The 14,216-nt window shown below is 51.8% G+C and overlaps 1 protein-coding gene, 1 long non-coding RNA gene and 1 pseudogene across 10 annotated transcripts in view, besides 7 other annotated features; 1 reads left to right on the forward strand and 2 right to left on the reverse strand.

The window, feature by feature from the left end:
• The window catches only part of ADA2 (adenosine deaminase 2), a 43,059-nt gene that overhangs the window by 8,306 nt on the left and 20,537 nt on the right, over positions 1 to 14,216 (reverse strand). For 7 of the 9 annotated variants that reach the window (NM_001282227.2, XM_011546133.3, NM_001282229.2 and 4 more), the window contains 3 exons: positions 4,588 to 4,715; positions 2,847 to 2,937; positions 1,244 to 1,352 (listed from right to left, as the gene is read on the reverse strand). In NM_001282227.2, the coding sequence (NP_001269156.1) occupies positions 1,244 to 1,352; positions 2,847 to 2,937; positions 4,588 to 4,715 (328 nt within the window). Of the gene's footprint in view, positions 1 to 1,243; positions 1,353 to 2,846; positions 2,938 to 4,583; positions 4,716 to 12,453; positions 12,561 to 14,216 lie in introns of those variants that run through there. The other 2 variants (NM_177405.3, XM_047441406.1) reach the window with 2 other exon arrangements.
• Positions 850 to 1,351: an enhancer, noted in NCBI's record as "H3K4me1 hESC enhancer chr22:17668835-17669336 (GRCh37/hg19 assembly coordinates)". NCBI's record gives its function as "activates a minimal SCP1, AML or CMV promoter by ChIP-STARR-seq in primed H9 embryonic stem cells {active_cell/tissue: H9 hESC(primed)}" and the evidence as "EXISTENCE:reporter gene assay evidence [ECO:0000049][PMID:30033119]".
• Positions 1,352 to 1,851: an enhancer, noted in NCBI's record as "H3K4me1 hESC enhancer chr22:17669337-17669836 (GRCh37/hg19 assembly coordinates)". NCBI's record gives its function as "activates a minimal SCP1, AML or CMV promoter by ChIP-STARR-seq in primed H9 embryonic stem cells {active_cell/tissue: H9 hESC(primed)}" and the evidence as "EXISTENCE:reporter gene assay evidence [ECO:0000049][PMID:30033119]".
• Positions 2,740 to 3,240: an enhancer, noted in NCBI's record as "H3K4me1 hESC enhancer chr22:17670725-17671225 (GRCh37/hg19 assembly coordinates)". NCBI's record gives its function as "activates a minimal SCP1, AML or CMV promoter by ChIP-STARR-seq in naive H9 embryonic stem cells {active_cell/tissue: H9 hESC(naive)}" and the evidence as "EXISTENCE:reporter gene assay evidence [ECO:0000049][PMID:30033119]".
• RPL32P5 (ribosomal protein L32 pseudogene 5) lies at positions 5,753 to 6,263 on the forward strand (annotated as a pseudogene).
• Positions 8,225 to 8,740: an enhancer, noted in NCBI's record as "H3K4me1 hESC enhancer chr22:17676210-17676725 (GRCh37/hg19 assembly coordinates)". NCBI's record gives its function as "activates a minimal SCP1, AML or CMV promoter by ChIP-STARR-seq in naive H9 embryonic stem cells {active_cell/tissue: H9 hESC(naive)}" and the evidence as "EXISTENCE:reporter gene assay evidence [ECO:0000049][PMID:30033119]".
• LOC107985573 (uncharacterized) lies at positions 10,966 to 11,694 on the reverse strand. Its single transcript, XR_001755419.2, has 2 exons — positions 11,504 to 11,694; positions 10,966 to 11,320 (listed from the first exon to the last, which is right to left on the reverse strand). It is a non-coding gene; the product is annotated as an uncharacterized LOC107985573 (long non-coding RNA).
• Positions 11,291 to 11,795: an enhancer, noted in NCBI's record as "OCT4-NANOG-H3K27ac-H3K4me1 hESC enhancer chr22:17679276-17679780 (GRCh37/hg19 assembly coordinates)". NCBI's record gives its function as "activates a minimal SCP1, AML or CMV promoter by ChIP-STARR-seq in naive H9 embryonic stem cells {active_cell/tissue: H9 hESC(naive)}" and the evidence as "EXISTENCE:reporter gene assay evidence [ECO:0000049][PMID:30033119]".
• Positions 11,796 to 12,299: an enhancer, noted in NCBI's record as "OCT4-NANOG-H3K27ac hESC enhancer chr22:17679781-17680284 (GRCh37/hg19 assembly coordinates)". NCBI's record gives its function as "activates a minimal SCP1, AML or CMV promoter by ChIP-STARR-seq in naive H9 embryonic stem cells {active_cell/tissue: H9 hESC(naive)}" and the evidence as "EXISTENCE:reporter gene assay evidence [ECO:0000049][PMID:30033119]".
• Positions 12,300 to 12,805: an enhancer, noted in NCBI's record as "H3K27ac-H3K4me1 hESC enhancer chr22:17680285-17680790 (GRCh37/hg19 assembly coordinates)". NCBI's record gives its function as "activates a minimal SCP1, AML or CMV promoter by ChIP-STARR-seq in naive H9 embryonic stem cells {active_cell/tissue: H9 hESC(naive)}" and the evidence as "EXISTENCE:reporter gene assay evidence [ECO:0000049][PMID:30033119]".

Consider the following 14,216-nt stretch of genomic DNA (forward strand, 5'->3'; position numbering starts at 1 on the left):
GCCGAGCTTGCAAGTGAGCCGAGATCATACCACTGCACTCCAGCCTGGGCCACAGAGCGAGACTCCATCTCAAAAAAAAAAAAAAAAAATTTGTTTTCCTTTTTGTGTAGAATGGAATCTTACTATGTTGCCCAGACTGGTCTCAAACTCCTGGGCTCAAGTGATCCTCCTGCCTCTGCCTCCCTAAGTGCTAGAATTACAGATGTGAGCCACTGTACCTGGCTAAAACACTTTTTTTTTTGAGACAGGGTCTAGCTCTGTCACCCAGGCTGGAGTTCAGTGAGCCTGGGCTCAGGCAATCCTCCCACCTCAGCCTCTAAGTAGGTGGGACCACAGGTGTGTACCATCATGCCTGGCTAATTTTTGTATTTTTTTGTAGAGACAAAGTTTTGCCATGTTGCCCTGGCTGGCCTCAAACTCCTGGGTTTAAAGAGATCCACCCACATCAGCCTCCAAAGTGCTAGGATTACAGGCATGAGCCACTGTGCCTGTGCCCAGCCTAAAACGAATTTTTATAGCCAAAGTAGGATGATGTGAGTTTGCAGGATTATGCCCCTACCACGAAAAATTAAAAAAAAAAAAAAAAAGAAGAAGAAGAAGGATTCAAATTCAGACTCCACTGCGCACCAGCTCTTTAACCCTGGACCACTGTGTTTGGAGCCTTGGGCTCTTCATCTATCAAATGGAGATTAAAAACTGGGGAAACAATCAGAAATCAATTAGAAAAGGCCAGGCGCAGTGGCTCACCCTTGTAATTCCAGCACTTTGGGAGGCCGAGGAGGGCAGATCATGAGGTCAGGAGATCAAGACCATCCTGGCTAACACGGTGAAACCCCGTCTCTACTAAAAATACAAAAAATTAGCCAGGCGTGGTGGCAGGTGCCTGTAGTACCAGCTACTTGGAAGGCTGAGGCAGGAGACTCTCTTGAACCTGGGAAGCCGAGGTTGCAGTGAGCTGGGCGACAGAGGGAGACTCCGTAAAAAAAAGAAAAAAAAAGAAGAAGAAGAAAAGAAAACAGGAAGGAAAGAAGAAAGAGAAACTAGAAATAATACATGTAAAGTGGCTGATTCTATTATCCTTGTTATTCCTTCTCCATGGGGCTGTTGTCAGGATTAAGTGAGATAGAGCACAGGAAAGGGCTCTGGAAACGCCTGTAGGCTCTAACCCTGAGGCATGGGCCTGTGGCCAGGAGCTCTCCCATTGACCACCTCCGCTGCCTCTGCTCGCATCCCGCAGGCTCACCTGTTTCTCCGGCGTGGAAGAAGTAAGGCAGCTTAACGCCATCCTTGGCGGGGATCATCAGAGCTTCCTTGTAGTCATGCAAGGAGTGGCCAGTGTCCTCATGCCCCACCTGCAGGACAGAGAGGGACAGGGAGGTGTCTGCAGGGCGCATGCCTCACTTGCTGATGGCGCGCCCTGGAGCCTGTGCACACCCTTCCTTGTACCCTGCCACCACTGCCGGGACCTTTGTCACACAGCCTTTTAAGAATGACCAGGAGCAGGCCAGGCGTGGTGGCTCACACCTGTAATCCCAGCACTTTGGGAGGCCGAGGCAGGCAGATCACGAAGTCAGGAGATCGAGACCATCCTGGCTAACACAGTGAAACCCCATCTCTACTAAAAATACAAAAAATTATCCAGGTGTGGTAGCGGGTGCCTGTAGTCCCAGCTACTTGGGAGGCTGAGGCAGGAGAATGGCATGAACCCAGGAGGCAGAACTTGCAGTGAGCTGAGATCACACCAATGCACTACAGCCTGGCCAAGAGCAAAAAATATATATATATATATATTTTGTAAAGACGGGGTCTCACCGATTTGCTCAGGCTGGTCTAGAACTCCTGGACTCAGGTGACCCTCCCACCTTGGCCCCCCAAGGTGCTGGGATTACAGGAGTGAGCCACTGCCCTGGACTAATCTAGATTCTTTTTTTTTTTTTTTTTTGAGATGGAGTCTTGCTCTGTCGCCCAGGCTGGAGTGCAATGGTGCAATCTCAGCTCACTGCAACCTCTGCCTCCTGAGTTCAAGTGATTCTGCCTCAGCCTCCCAAGTAGCTGGGATTACAGGTGCAGGCCACCAAGGCTGGCTAATTTTTGTGTTTTTAGTAGAGATGCGGTTTCTCCATGTTGGCCAGGCTGGTCTTGAACTTCAGACCTCAGGTGATCCACCTGTCTCGCCCTCCCAAAGTGCTGAGGGCATGAGCCACTGCACCCGGCCTAGATTCTTTATGAGATTGCCGAGCTGTCACCTAAGAAATGTCCTGGTTGTGCTTCGATTTGGTGGGGAGGTGTGGGACAATGACAACACCTATGAATGTGTAGCTTCAAAAACTGGTGTGGCCAGGCATGATGGCTGGAGAGGGAGGGACAAATATCACTACCTTGAGGATTTGCAAAGGCCTGGCTCCATCCTGGACTCTGTTTCCAGACATTACCCCCCAGTCCCCACCCCGCGTGCTACAGGGGCTGGTGAGGGTTTTAAGACCCACACCTAGGTGAGCAGTGTGGGATAGAAAAAAGGGCACAGGCAGGGCCATGGGGAATGAGCCCATAACTGTGGTCCAAACTCCCTGAATGCCATCCTTATTCTGGAACTTTCCTTGTTAGCTTGTTAGAACTGGCTGTCTGCTCTCCCTTCTCCAGTGACAGCCGTCCCCTGTAGGCCTCTGAAGAGGGTCAGCGCTGAGCTCTGAGCAGCCCTGCTGTGTCAGCAGCCTGAGCCTGCCCTGGGATGTCAGGGTACCAACAGGCACATTGCGCTCCCTTCCCAGGGAGTTGCCGCTCCACCCAGACAGGCATCCTCGCATGCCCCCTTAACAGGCAGCCCTTCTGTTCACAGCATGGGTTACCAGGTCAAACCCTGCCACCACCGTGGGGAACTTGATTCGGAGCCCCATGGCCATTCGGATGGATTCTGCGATGACAGCCACATCTTTGGATCTGTGAGACAGACAGAGAAGCCAGGAGACAGTGCCCAGCACCGACAGAGCACAAACCCCAGAGCACACCCTCCGTGCAGGGCTGGGCCAGCCCCAAGTGTGCAGGTCCCGTTTCCCAAACCTGAGGCACCCCTGCCCTCCTGACCCCACCCTGACCAGGCCATTGTGATCCCTGAGAGATATGTAGCCCAAATCCATTCTTATCAAAGACCCTTGCTGGCTCTGGGGGCACCTGTAGTCTCTGAAAAGTAGATGGGGTCAGAGGACCCACGGGAACAGTTTTATTTGTCTGCGTTTAGAGGAGGCCAGGTGGCCTTGTTCCCAGCTCTCCCTGCATCTCTGTCGGGGGTGTAGACATGGATGCAGCTCAGGGGCAGCTCTCTGTCCACTGCACACCTGCAAAGGGCCACAGGTCACCCAAGTCCCTGATGGGTCGGCTGGACCCAGTAACCATATGGCCTCTTGCTGATTAAGTCAGCAAGATCCTGGGTACTGCAGAACCCTACAGGGGCAAGGCAGGCAGCATGACAACAAAAGCCCCAAAACACAGGGTCTGGCGCAAGCCCACGACAGGCTCAAGGTCTTTGCCCTGCCACTGGCTCTCCTGCTCCAATCCTCGGCTCTGTGGGGATAAAGCCTTCCTGGCCTGCCCCACCCATGGCCTCTCCCCAGAGCCTAGGCAAACCTGGGGGCACTGATGCACTCAGCTCAGCCCTCACACCCTCCTGCCACTGGCCCTGGGAAGGGGCACCTGGCACCAGGGAGCCTCTGAGCAGAACGTGGGCCCATCCTGCAAGCTCCCTCCTAGGGGGACCGGCACAAAGCCAGAGCTTAGCTCCTCCAGGCCCCAGGCCCCATGGAAGGGAAGGGGACTCAGGAAGACTGGGCATGGGAGGAGGCTCCTGGGGAGTCAGTGCCCTCCAGAGCCCAGGCTCGTGGGTGAGCTGAGCAGAGGGAGCCGCTGCCGGATCCCTTCGGTGCCCGCCCCGTGCCTGACTCCGAGGGACCCCACTGGCTGCTGCCCTTGCAGCTGCGACCATGGACAGGTCCCAGCCTTAGACTGGCTGCTCTTTAAAGTGAGGGGAGGGGTCTTGTCTGGTAAAGTCAGAAGGACAATTAAGCTGCAAAGCTTTCTGTGCTTCCCTGGGAAAAAGAGTGGGTCTTTCACCCACGTGCCAGGCCACGCACATGGTACTACTGGAGGTCCCCACACGCAGACTTGAGCCAGTGCCACTCAGGGTGTCTCCGTGATCAAGGACTCACACACAACCACACACAGAACCCAGAGGCAAATTGAAACCAAAAACGGGCCAATTATCCAAACATTCAGGCAAAACCATTATGCTCATAAATGAGTCACCAGGCCAATGTGGGGTCACAGCCGAGAATTATCTGGGAAATTCACACATTCTTCATTTCAGTTTGGGGGTGAAGACCTGAACTAGAAGTGGCTTCAGGCAGCAATTCATTGTTGGGTCACCGCACTTACCTAGGACTGTGCTCTCACACAGGCACAGCACAGCTCCTTGGCACCAGTGCTGGGCCTCTCCCGGCCTCCCAGCCCCGCTTCTCACCCCTCCCCTCCCAGCCTAGTAGCTCTGCCTGCATCCCAGCCTCCCAACCCGAGCTTTTCAGCAATATTCTCTCTCACCTGTGATCCGAATAAATGATTTTGATTCCAATAAACTCAGGGTGAGTTTCCACAAACTTCTGAGCTACTTCCTGGTAAGTCTTCACTGACCACTCTTCGTCATGGTGCTCTCCACTGAGCTCATACACCTGGGAAGAAAGCACAACCAGGAGCCGTCAGGTGAGCAGTGAGAGACGCCACCCCCTTCCCAGCCACCCCTGCCCAGCCACCCCTGGCCAGCCACCCCTGCCCAACCACCCCCTTCCCAGCCACCCCTTCCCAGCCACCCTTGCCCAGCCACCCCTGCCCAGCCACCCTTGCCCAGCCACCTCCTTCCCAGTCAACTCCTTCCCAGCCATCAACGAGCTCTGGGAAAAGTAGATGGGGTCAGGGGACCCACAAAACAGTTTTATTTGTGTTTGGATTAGGCCAAGTGGCCTTGTTCCCAAAAGTCCAGCCAGGCTGGACTTGTGCTTCCCTTGTTCAGGTCCTCTACGGCCTTGGGCATTGTCTCTGCTGCTGCATGGGGAATTCCTAGCTGGCTCTGGGATAACCCTGATGCTGATGCCCACCTGTCTCCTTCATTGCTGGGTCACTGCACTTAAAACAGCACATGGCACACGCGAGGGTAGGTGCCCATTAAGCATCTGCATAATGGTTGAAGAGCAGGTCACGGGGGGAGAGGATGAAAGCTAGAAAGAGTGATCTGAGAATGACGTCATTCCCCACTACCTGCTCACCTCCCCACTGCTTCCCTAACTCCAGGTGCAGCAGCTGCAAGGCGGCCACTGCCACCAGGGACAGCAAGGGGGACACAGTGAGAGCAGAGTGGGGAGAGTTGGGAGTGGGCAGGTGACAAGGAAGCTAAGGGAAGGGAGGTGTGTAATGGGGAAAGGTGGCTCACACCTGTAATCATAGCACTTTGGGAGGCCGAGGCAGGGGGATCACTTGAGGTCAGGAGTTCAAGACCAGCCTGGCCAACATGGTGAAACCCCCATCTCTACCAAAAATACAAGATTAGCTGGGCATGGTGGCACATGCCTGTTAATCTCAGCTACTGGGGAGGCTGAGGCAGGAGAATCGCTTGAACCCGGGAGGCAGAGGTTGCAGTGAGCCAAGATCATACCACTGCACTCCAGCCTGGGCGACAAAGCAAGACTCTGTCTCGAAAAAAAAAAAGGGGGGGCCCTCTCTCTTCCTCGGCGCTGCCTACAGAAGTGGCAGCCATCTCCTCTTTGGCATCATGGCCACCCTCAGACCCCTTGTGAAGCCTGATTGTCAAAAAGAGAACCAAAAAGTTCATCTGGCACCGGTCTGACCAATACGTCAAAATTAACCGTAACTGGCGGAAACCCAGAGGTATTCACAACGGGGTTCATAGAAGGTTCAAGGGCCAGATCTCGATGCCCAACAGTGGTTATGGGAGCAACAAAAAAAAACAAAGAACACGCTGCCCAGTGGCTTCCAGAAGTTCCTGGTCCACAACATCAAGGAGCTGGAAGTGCTGCTGATGTGCAACAATCTCCCTGTGCTGACATCGCTCACAACGTTTCCTCTAAGAACCACGAAGCCATCGTGGAAAGAGCTGCCCAGCTGGTCATCAGAGTCACCAACCCCAATGCCAGGCTGCGCAGCAAAGAAAATGAGTAGACAGCTCATGTCCCCTTTTTGTGTTTAAATAAAACCGTAAAAACTGCAAAAAAAAAAAAAAAAAAAAAAAAAAAGGACAGCGCGGTGGCTCACGCCTGTAATCCCAGCACTTTGGGCGGTCGAGGTGGGTGGATCACGAGGTCATGAGTTCGAGACCAGCCTGGCCAATATGGTGAAACCTCGTCTCTACTAAAAATACAAAAATTAGCCGGGTGTGGTGGTGCGTGCCTGTAGTAGTCCCAGCCACTCGGGAGGCTGAGGCAGGATAATCGCTTGAACCCAGGAGGCAGAGGTTGCTGTGAGCCAAGATCGCGCCATTGCACTCCAGCCTGGGTGACAGAGCGAGACTCCACCTTAAAAAAAAACTAAAAAAAAAAAAAAAAGATGTGGGAATTTCTGCAGAGACTGTGGGGTGAAGGAGACAGGGAGCAATAATATGGAGATGTCGATTACTTCCATGGCATCAGTTAAGCCCTTATGATATAAAAGGAACAGGGCTGGGCATTGGAAGGGATGAAAAAATGCTAATAGACAAGATAGCTGCCCTCAGGAGTGACAATAGGGTCAGAGAGATAGACCTGACCCACTAAAAAGAGCTCACGCCTGTAATCCCAGCACTTTGGGAGGCCGAGGCAGGAGGATCACTTGAGCCCAGGAGGTCAAGACCAGCCTGGGCAATGAGTGAGTTCCTGTCTGTAAAAAGGAATGAAAAAAAAAAAAAAAAGAAACAATAGAATAAGTGCTAAAGAGAAGCACATGACCTCTCAAAAGAAGAAGCAGTTTGTTGTGACTGGATGGGTCAGAGAAGGTTGCTAGTCCTGACCAAGGGAATGGTGGCTCCACACAGAGTCAAGAGCTGCCTGGGGGCGGGGGTTCAAGGAGCCGAGGTTGAGAGCTGCAGTGGGAGCCAGGAGCTGTCCCCTCACTAAGGGAGAAATGCCCTTCCTCCTCCCGGGAGTCGGCTCTTGCCTCTGTGGCATCTCAGGAAATGGGCCCTTGGGAGTCCACCTCCTCTGCTCATTTCCCACCAGCCCCTTGCCTCACTCCTGTCTCCCCAGCCTAGGGGCCTCCCACACCCCTCCAGGCTGCGGCCATTGTGTGTCCTTTGTCTCTGGGCAGTCCCTCAGATCCCCGCATTCCCCCAGGCCTGCAGAACAGTACTGCTGCTCTCTCATCTCCAGGGTGCTGCCCCGCTGCCTGGGCAGGCGCAGTGGGGGAGCAGGCAGTGAGGCTCTCCACTGGTCTTTGCTCTTCTGTTTCCTCTGCTGCCCCCATGAAGCCTGGCACGTCACACAGCCCCCCACAACCTGCACCTGGCCAGGCCACTCACTCTGCTCGGGCAGTTTCCCTGACTGCCTGACCTGGCACAGCCATGCTCAGGGGCTACTGAACTTTAAGGCTGCCAGAGCGTGCCAGAAGGAAGAACCTTAGGTACTGTTCATTCAGGATCTAGTATTGTCTATTATTATTATTATTTACTGAAGAGGGTCAGAATATGTCACCCAATAGGCCACTTTAGCAGAAGAAATATTTTTAGCTGAAGGCAATTAAGAAGCAGCAAATGAAGAAAGAGCTCTTTGCCCACCTCATCTGCCTAAATTTCCCTTTGTGAAGGTGTCGCCCTCCCCTCTCCCGTACCAGGAGAATCACCCTTACCACCGGAAACAGAAAGTTGTTACCAAGATGGGTCTGCACAAACCAGCCTTATAAAATTGCCCTTATCTTCCATTAGTTTCCCCCATATGTTTGCCTGCCCACAATTTACTGTCCCTAGAAGCCCAAACCCCTTTTCCTTCATCTTGTCACTTCTTCACAATTTATTACCAGTTGTTAAAATGGAATATAAGCCCTCACTCTAACTTCTTTGGTGCTTCACGTCTTTTCAAGGAAGGCCTGCATCTATCTGTGCACATAGCAAATTCTTAGGCCGGGTGTGATGGCTCATGCCTGTAATCCCAGCACTTTGGGAGGCGGAGGCAGATCACCTCGGGCAAATCACCTGAGGTCAGGAGTTGGAGACTATCCTGGCCAACATGGTGAAACCTCATCTCTACTAAAAATACAACAATTAGCCGGGCGTGGTGGTGGGCGCCTGTAATCCCAGCTACTGGGGAGGCTGAGGCAGGAGAATCGCTTGAACCCGGGAGTTGGAGGTTGCAGTGAGCTGAGATCGCGCCACTGCACTCCAGCCTGGGCGACAGAGCAAGACTCCGTCTCAAAAAAAAACAAAACAAAACAAAAAAATTTTTTTAAACTTTTATTTTGCAACAGTCTTGCCGTGTCGTCCAGGCTGGAGTGTGGTGGTGCAATCTTGGTTCACTGTCTGTTTCACTCTTATTCTCTCATGGATGTACAGTAGAATTTTCCTGAAGCTGCATCATGTGTCATATCATTCTGACCGATAATGCCAATCATGGATTATGTGTTTGTATTTAGAATAATTTCTTTCCTTTTTTTTTTTTTTTTTGAGACGGAGTCTCGCTCTGTCACCCAGGCTGGAGTGCAGTGGTGCGATCTCGGCTCACTTTAACCTCCACCTCCTGGGTTCAAGCACGACTCCCGAGTAGCTGGGATTACAGGCACATGCCACCACGCCTGGCTATTTTTTTGTATTTCTGGTAGAGACGGGGTTTCGCCATGCTGGTCAGGCTGGTCTTGAACTCCTGACCTCATGATCTGCTCGCCTCAGCCTCCCAAAGCGCTGGGATTACAGGCATGAGCCACTGCGCCCGGCAAGAAAATTTCTTAATTTTGGCTGGGTGCAATAGCTCACACCTGTAATCCCAGCACTTTGGGGGGCCAAGGCGAGTGGATCACCTGATGTCAGTTGACCAGCCTGGCCAACATGGTGAAACCCCTTCTCTACTAAAAATACAAAAATTTGCTGTAATCCCAGCTACTCGGGAGGCTGATGCAGGAGAATCACTTGAACCCAGGAAGCGGAGGTTGCAGTGAGCCAAGATTGTGTGCCATTGTACTCCAGCCTAGGCAACAAAAGTGAAACTCCATCCCAAAAAAAAAAAAAAAAAGGAAAATTTCTTAATTTTAACATCTAATACAGGATATATCAATAGATATAATCCACATAAATAAAAGGCGTTTGAAATTAACAAAAATTTTTAAGAATATAAAGAGGTTCTGGGACCAGAAAGTTGGAGAACCACTGTGTTAACCCAACCCACAATTGTTACCTGCAGTTGTCTTGGACTCATCCAGCTGGTTCACAGCAGGGAAGAATAGGGTTCTGTCCTGACCTTGACCACCCTGTCATTACTGAGTCTCCTGCCCACACCCCCCAGCTAGATTGGAGGCTCCTCCAGGGTAGAGTCCTTGCAGTTTTACTCTCCCCACCTCCTCTCCTATGGCACCAGAGCAGGAGCTCCATAAATAAATATTAATTCAAGGAGAGTGCTGTCCACAGGAGTTTTAAAAGTACTAAGGCCCAGGCAGCAAGGGCAAATAGACAGTTGTTGGCGGAGTGGTAGGTGGAGTCATGCCAGCAGAATAGAAGGGAGACCAAAGAAATAACCTTTAAAAAATATTAACAAATGACAACTCTGCTTAAAAGAAGATCTCTGAGGCCTGGCATGGTGGCTTATGCCTGTAATCCCAGCACTTTAGGAGGCCGAGGCAGGCGAATCACCTGAGGTCAGGAGTTCAAGAGCAGCCTGGCCAACATGGCGAAACCCCGTCTCTACTAAAAATACAAAAATTAGCCGGGCATGGTGATGGGCACCTGTAATCCCAACTACTCGGGAGGCTGAGGCAGGAGAATCACTTGAACCCAGGAGGCAGAGGTTGCAGTGAGCCAAGATCGCACCACTGCACTCCAGCCTGGACGACAGATTGGTTCATGGGGAAATTTGGGAGCAGAGTGCTGTAAAGGTCATACAACTGGTTTGTATCAGAACAGAAACAAGGACTCGCAATTTCTTTTTTTCTTTCTTTCTTTTTTTTCTTTTTTTTTTTTGTCTGAGACAGGGTCTCACTCTGCGGCCCAGGCTGCAGTGCAGTGGCATGATCTTGAACAGCCTTGAATTTCCAGGCTCAGGTGATCCTCCCACCTCAGCCTCTTGAGTAACTGGGACCACAGGTGCATACCACCATACCTGGCTAATTATTTTGTTTTGTCCTGTTTTGTAGAGACAAGGGTTTTGCCATGTTGCCTAGGCTGGTCTCGAACTCCTGAGCTCAAGGGATTCACCTGCCACCATCTCCCAAAGTGCTGGGACTACAGGCATGAGCCACTGCACCTGGCCAGTACTGGCAGTTTCACTCAGCTTTCACTACCAGAGTATCATTCACTTAAGAAGTGTTGAGCTTCTACTACATGCCAGGCATATGCAGGGGGCTTTATGCCATAATCTCATTTAACCCTCAAAACTACACTATGAGGTAGGTCTCATTTTACAGATAAGGATTTTGAGGCTTTAAAAGTTTGAGAAGGCTGAGCACGGTGGCTCACGCCTATAATCCTAGCACTTTGGGAGGCCAAGGCGGGCGGATCACCTGAGGTCACGAATTCGAGACCAGCCTGACCAACATGGAGAAACCCCGTCTCTACTAAAAATAGAAAATTAGCCGGGTGTGGTGGCACATGCCTGTATTCCCAGCTACTCGGGAGGCTGAGGCAGGAGAATCGCTTGAACCCGGGAGGCGGAGGTTGCGGTGAGCCAAGATTGCACCATTGCACTCCAGTCTGGGCAACAAGAACGAAACTCCGTCTCAAAAAAAAAAAAAACAAAAAAATTGAGAAACTCAGTACCCCTGCATAATTAGTGGGGCTGGAGGCCGACCACATTTCAGAATTTTGCTTGCCCTGAGTTGTCTCCTGTCATCAGGAGGCCCCTGCCCCCTCCTGTAGAAAGGTGACAGTCACTAGAGTGACATCTCAGCCCTGGCGGCACATTGGCATCACTCAAGGAGAGGAAAAATGCCTGTGTCCCACCCCAGAGCAACCAAATCAGAATCTGTGGGGTAGAAGCTTGGTGTTTGTAATCTCCCAGGTGGTGCTAGGGTGCGATATACAGCTGGGCTGAAGATCTGCCACTGTTCCAATCGACAGACAAGTAAATAGCACAATGACAGCATAGTCGGATGAGTCCTGTCAAAAAGGGAGCAGTTAAGAGGGTGCGTGTTCTCGTAAAGCGACACCAGCAACATGACACAGGGTTCGCTTCATTCAGCAAGGAGCCAAATGGAATTTTGAATGAAAGGTCTGCTAAGAATCCAGGCAAAAGCATGGGGGCTGGGGAGCGCGGGTACAGGGAGCACTAGAAATGCTTACTGTATGAACGACAACGTCTTAGAAAACGTCTGGGAACGACTGTCACAGGTTCTCTGCCACCGACGTGTCTCCCATAAGCTCTCCCCTCCATAAGTGCCAGCAGGGCCATCCCCTGTGGATAACCCTCCGGGGTCTTGGAAGAGCCCCATGCTAAAGACTCAGGGGACCCAGTCTGGGCCTCAGACTCTGCCGTGGGGGAAGGGGCCGGAGCCCAGGAGATAAGACCCGCCTAGCGACCGTTGCTACCGGCGAGCAGCCTTTGTTACTGAGCATTAGGAACACAATGGGAGGCTCAGCGGCCAGGATAGTCCGTCCACAGCAGCCCAGGCCGGAATTAGCCTGCGACCAGGCAGGGGGAGGCGAGGGGGCTCAGCAAAAGGATTCTAGTGAAGACTGTTTTTAGTTGTTAATGTGTTGGTGGCCCCCCAACTCTGGCTAATGGGGGGCATTAAGACCTAGACTCTCCGTGGCAAAAGCCTTTGTTCCAGGGTCAGACCCGAACAAATGGGCACATCCCCTCCCCCTCCCCCTCCACCAGAATCCCAAATCCTAGCAGCCCAGCACCTTCTCCAAAGGTTGGCTGGGGGACGGGCGGAGACGGGCAGAGTGAGGACAGAGGACTGGAGCTGGGCAGGCCCCCAAGTCTCTCCACCTCCGGCTCTGGAAGGAGAAAATGGCCACCTGCAGAACAAGGGGGAAGATGGAACAGGAAGCCAGTGCTCTGGCCCTTCTCTTCCTCCCTCCGATCCAACCGCTCAGCAACTTCTCCCACATGCCTCCCCACCAGGCTCAAGATGAAAGCCTCTGTCTCAGCGTCTCCTCCCTCCCCTCCTCTATCCTCTTCCCCTCCACCCACGAAGATCCCAGGGTTCTGCGAGGGTCGGAGTTCCCTATGCACTCCCACACCAAGACAGTTGTCAGGATTTGCCCAACAGGAAGTTCTCCCCTACCAGAGCCCAGTTCCATTCCAGGGAATCCATCTCCCCTCCGGAAAAAGGAAAATTGAAGCCAGATGCTCTCTGGGATCGCCATTTGAGGTGGGCGTGGCTATTAGGACGCTCAGAGAGCCCAGCGCGGTGAGGAAAGCGACGAACTTAGGAGCCCTGGTCTGGGTCCAGCCACCCCTTACTACCTATTTGACCTTCATCAAGCTCTTTGACCTTTCCAGGCTTTAGTTTCGACATCAATAAGATGAATTAATAGCTGGGCATGGCTCGCGTCTGTAATCCTAGTACTTTGGGAGGCCGACGTGGGTGTATTTGCCTGAGCTCAGGAGTTCCAGACCAGCCTGGGCAATATGGTAAAACCCCATCTCGCCAGGCGCGGTGGCTCACGCCTGTAATCCCAGCACTTTGGGATGCCAAGGTGGGTGGATCACTTGAGGTCGTGAGTTCGAAACCAGCCTGGCCAATATGGTGAAATCTCATCTCTTCTAAAAATACAAAAATTAGCTGAGTGCGGTGGTGTACACCTGTAATCCCAGCTACTCGGGAGGCTGAGGCAGGAGAATCACTTGAATCCGGGAGGCGGAGGTTACAATGCGCCAAGATCACGCCACTTTACTCCAGCCTGGGCAACACAGAATGTCTCAAAAACAACAAACAAACAAACACAAGAATCACCTGCTCTGGGAAGTGCAGTTTCTTCCAGCCTACCTAGGCCAGGAGCAAAGTCAGCTCATCAATTTTTGCCAGCGCCTCCCTTTTCAGAAATTCTTTTCTCAATAAAAGATGAGACCCTCTCTTTTCTTTTAAAAGGATGATTTGTGTCCTGTGTCTTGTCTGTCTGCTCTGTCCACAAAACTGATGAAAGCTCCACTGCAAGGCAAAGTTAATGTTCCCCTCCCACTTCTCAAGAACTCAGAAATGGAAATATAACTCTGCACTCAGAGAGTTAAAATAGAAAACAAGCAACAGATCCAAGTGGAGACATGCAGATCACACAAGAGATCGGACTCTCCAGGATCCAGCCTTGCCGCTAAACTCACCAAGGGTATTAACATATCTAAGGAAAAGGCCGGGCATGGTGGCTCGTAATCTTTGGGAGGCCGAGGTGGGTGGATCACCTGAGGTCAGGAGTGCAAGACCAGCCTAGCCAACATGGTAAAACCCTGTCTCTACTAATAATACAAAAATTAGCTGGGTGTGGTGGTGCACGCCTGTAATCCCAGCTATTCCAGAGGCTGAGGCAGGAGGTTCCCTTGAACCCAGGAGGCGGAGGTTGCAGTAAACCAAGATGGTGCCATTGCACTCCAGCCTGGGCAACAAGAGCGAAACTCTGCCTCAAAAAAAAAAAAAACATATCTAAGGAAAAAGGTGGGTCAGTCCAGGATGCCAAGCAAAGGGAGAGTTGAGACCCACAAACTGGAATAACTTGAATAACGAGTGGATCAGCTGAGGTCAGGAGTTCAAGACTAACCTGGCCAACATGGTGAAACCCCATTTACTGAAAATACAAAAAATTAGCCAGGCATGGTGGTGTGCATCTGTAGTCCCAGCTACTCGGGAGGCTGAGGCACGAGAATCGCTTGAACCTGGGAGGTGGAGGTTGCAGTGAGGCAAGATCATACCACTACACTCCAGCCTGGGCGACAGAAATTCTGTCAAAAAAAAAAAAGAAGAAGAAGAAAGAAAAGAAAAGAGGAGAATTTCCTGATGAAGCATAAGTGTCTGGTCCGAATGATAACAGCATTCTGACTTTCTTGTTTACACAT

The sequence above is a fragment of the Homo sapiens genome, chromosome 22, assembly GCF_000001405.40.
Source record: "Homo sapiens chromosome 22, GRCh38.p14 Primary Assembly".
Taxonomy (NCBI): Eukaryota; Metazoa; Chordata; class Mammalia; order Primates; family Hominidae; genus Homo; species Homo sapiens.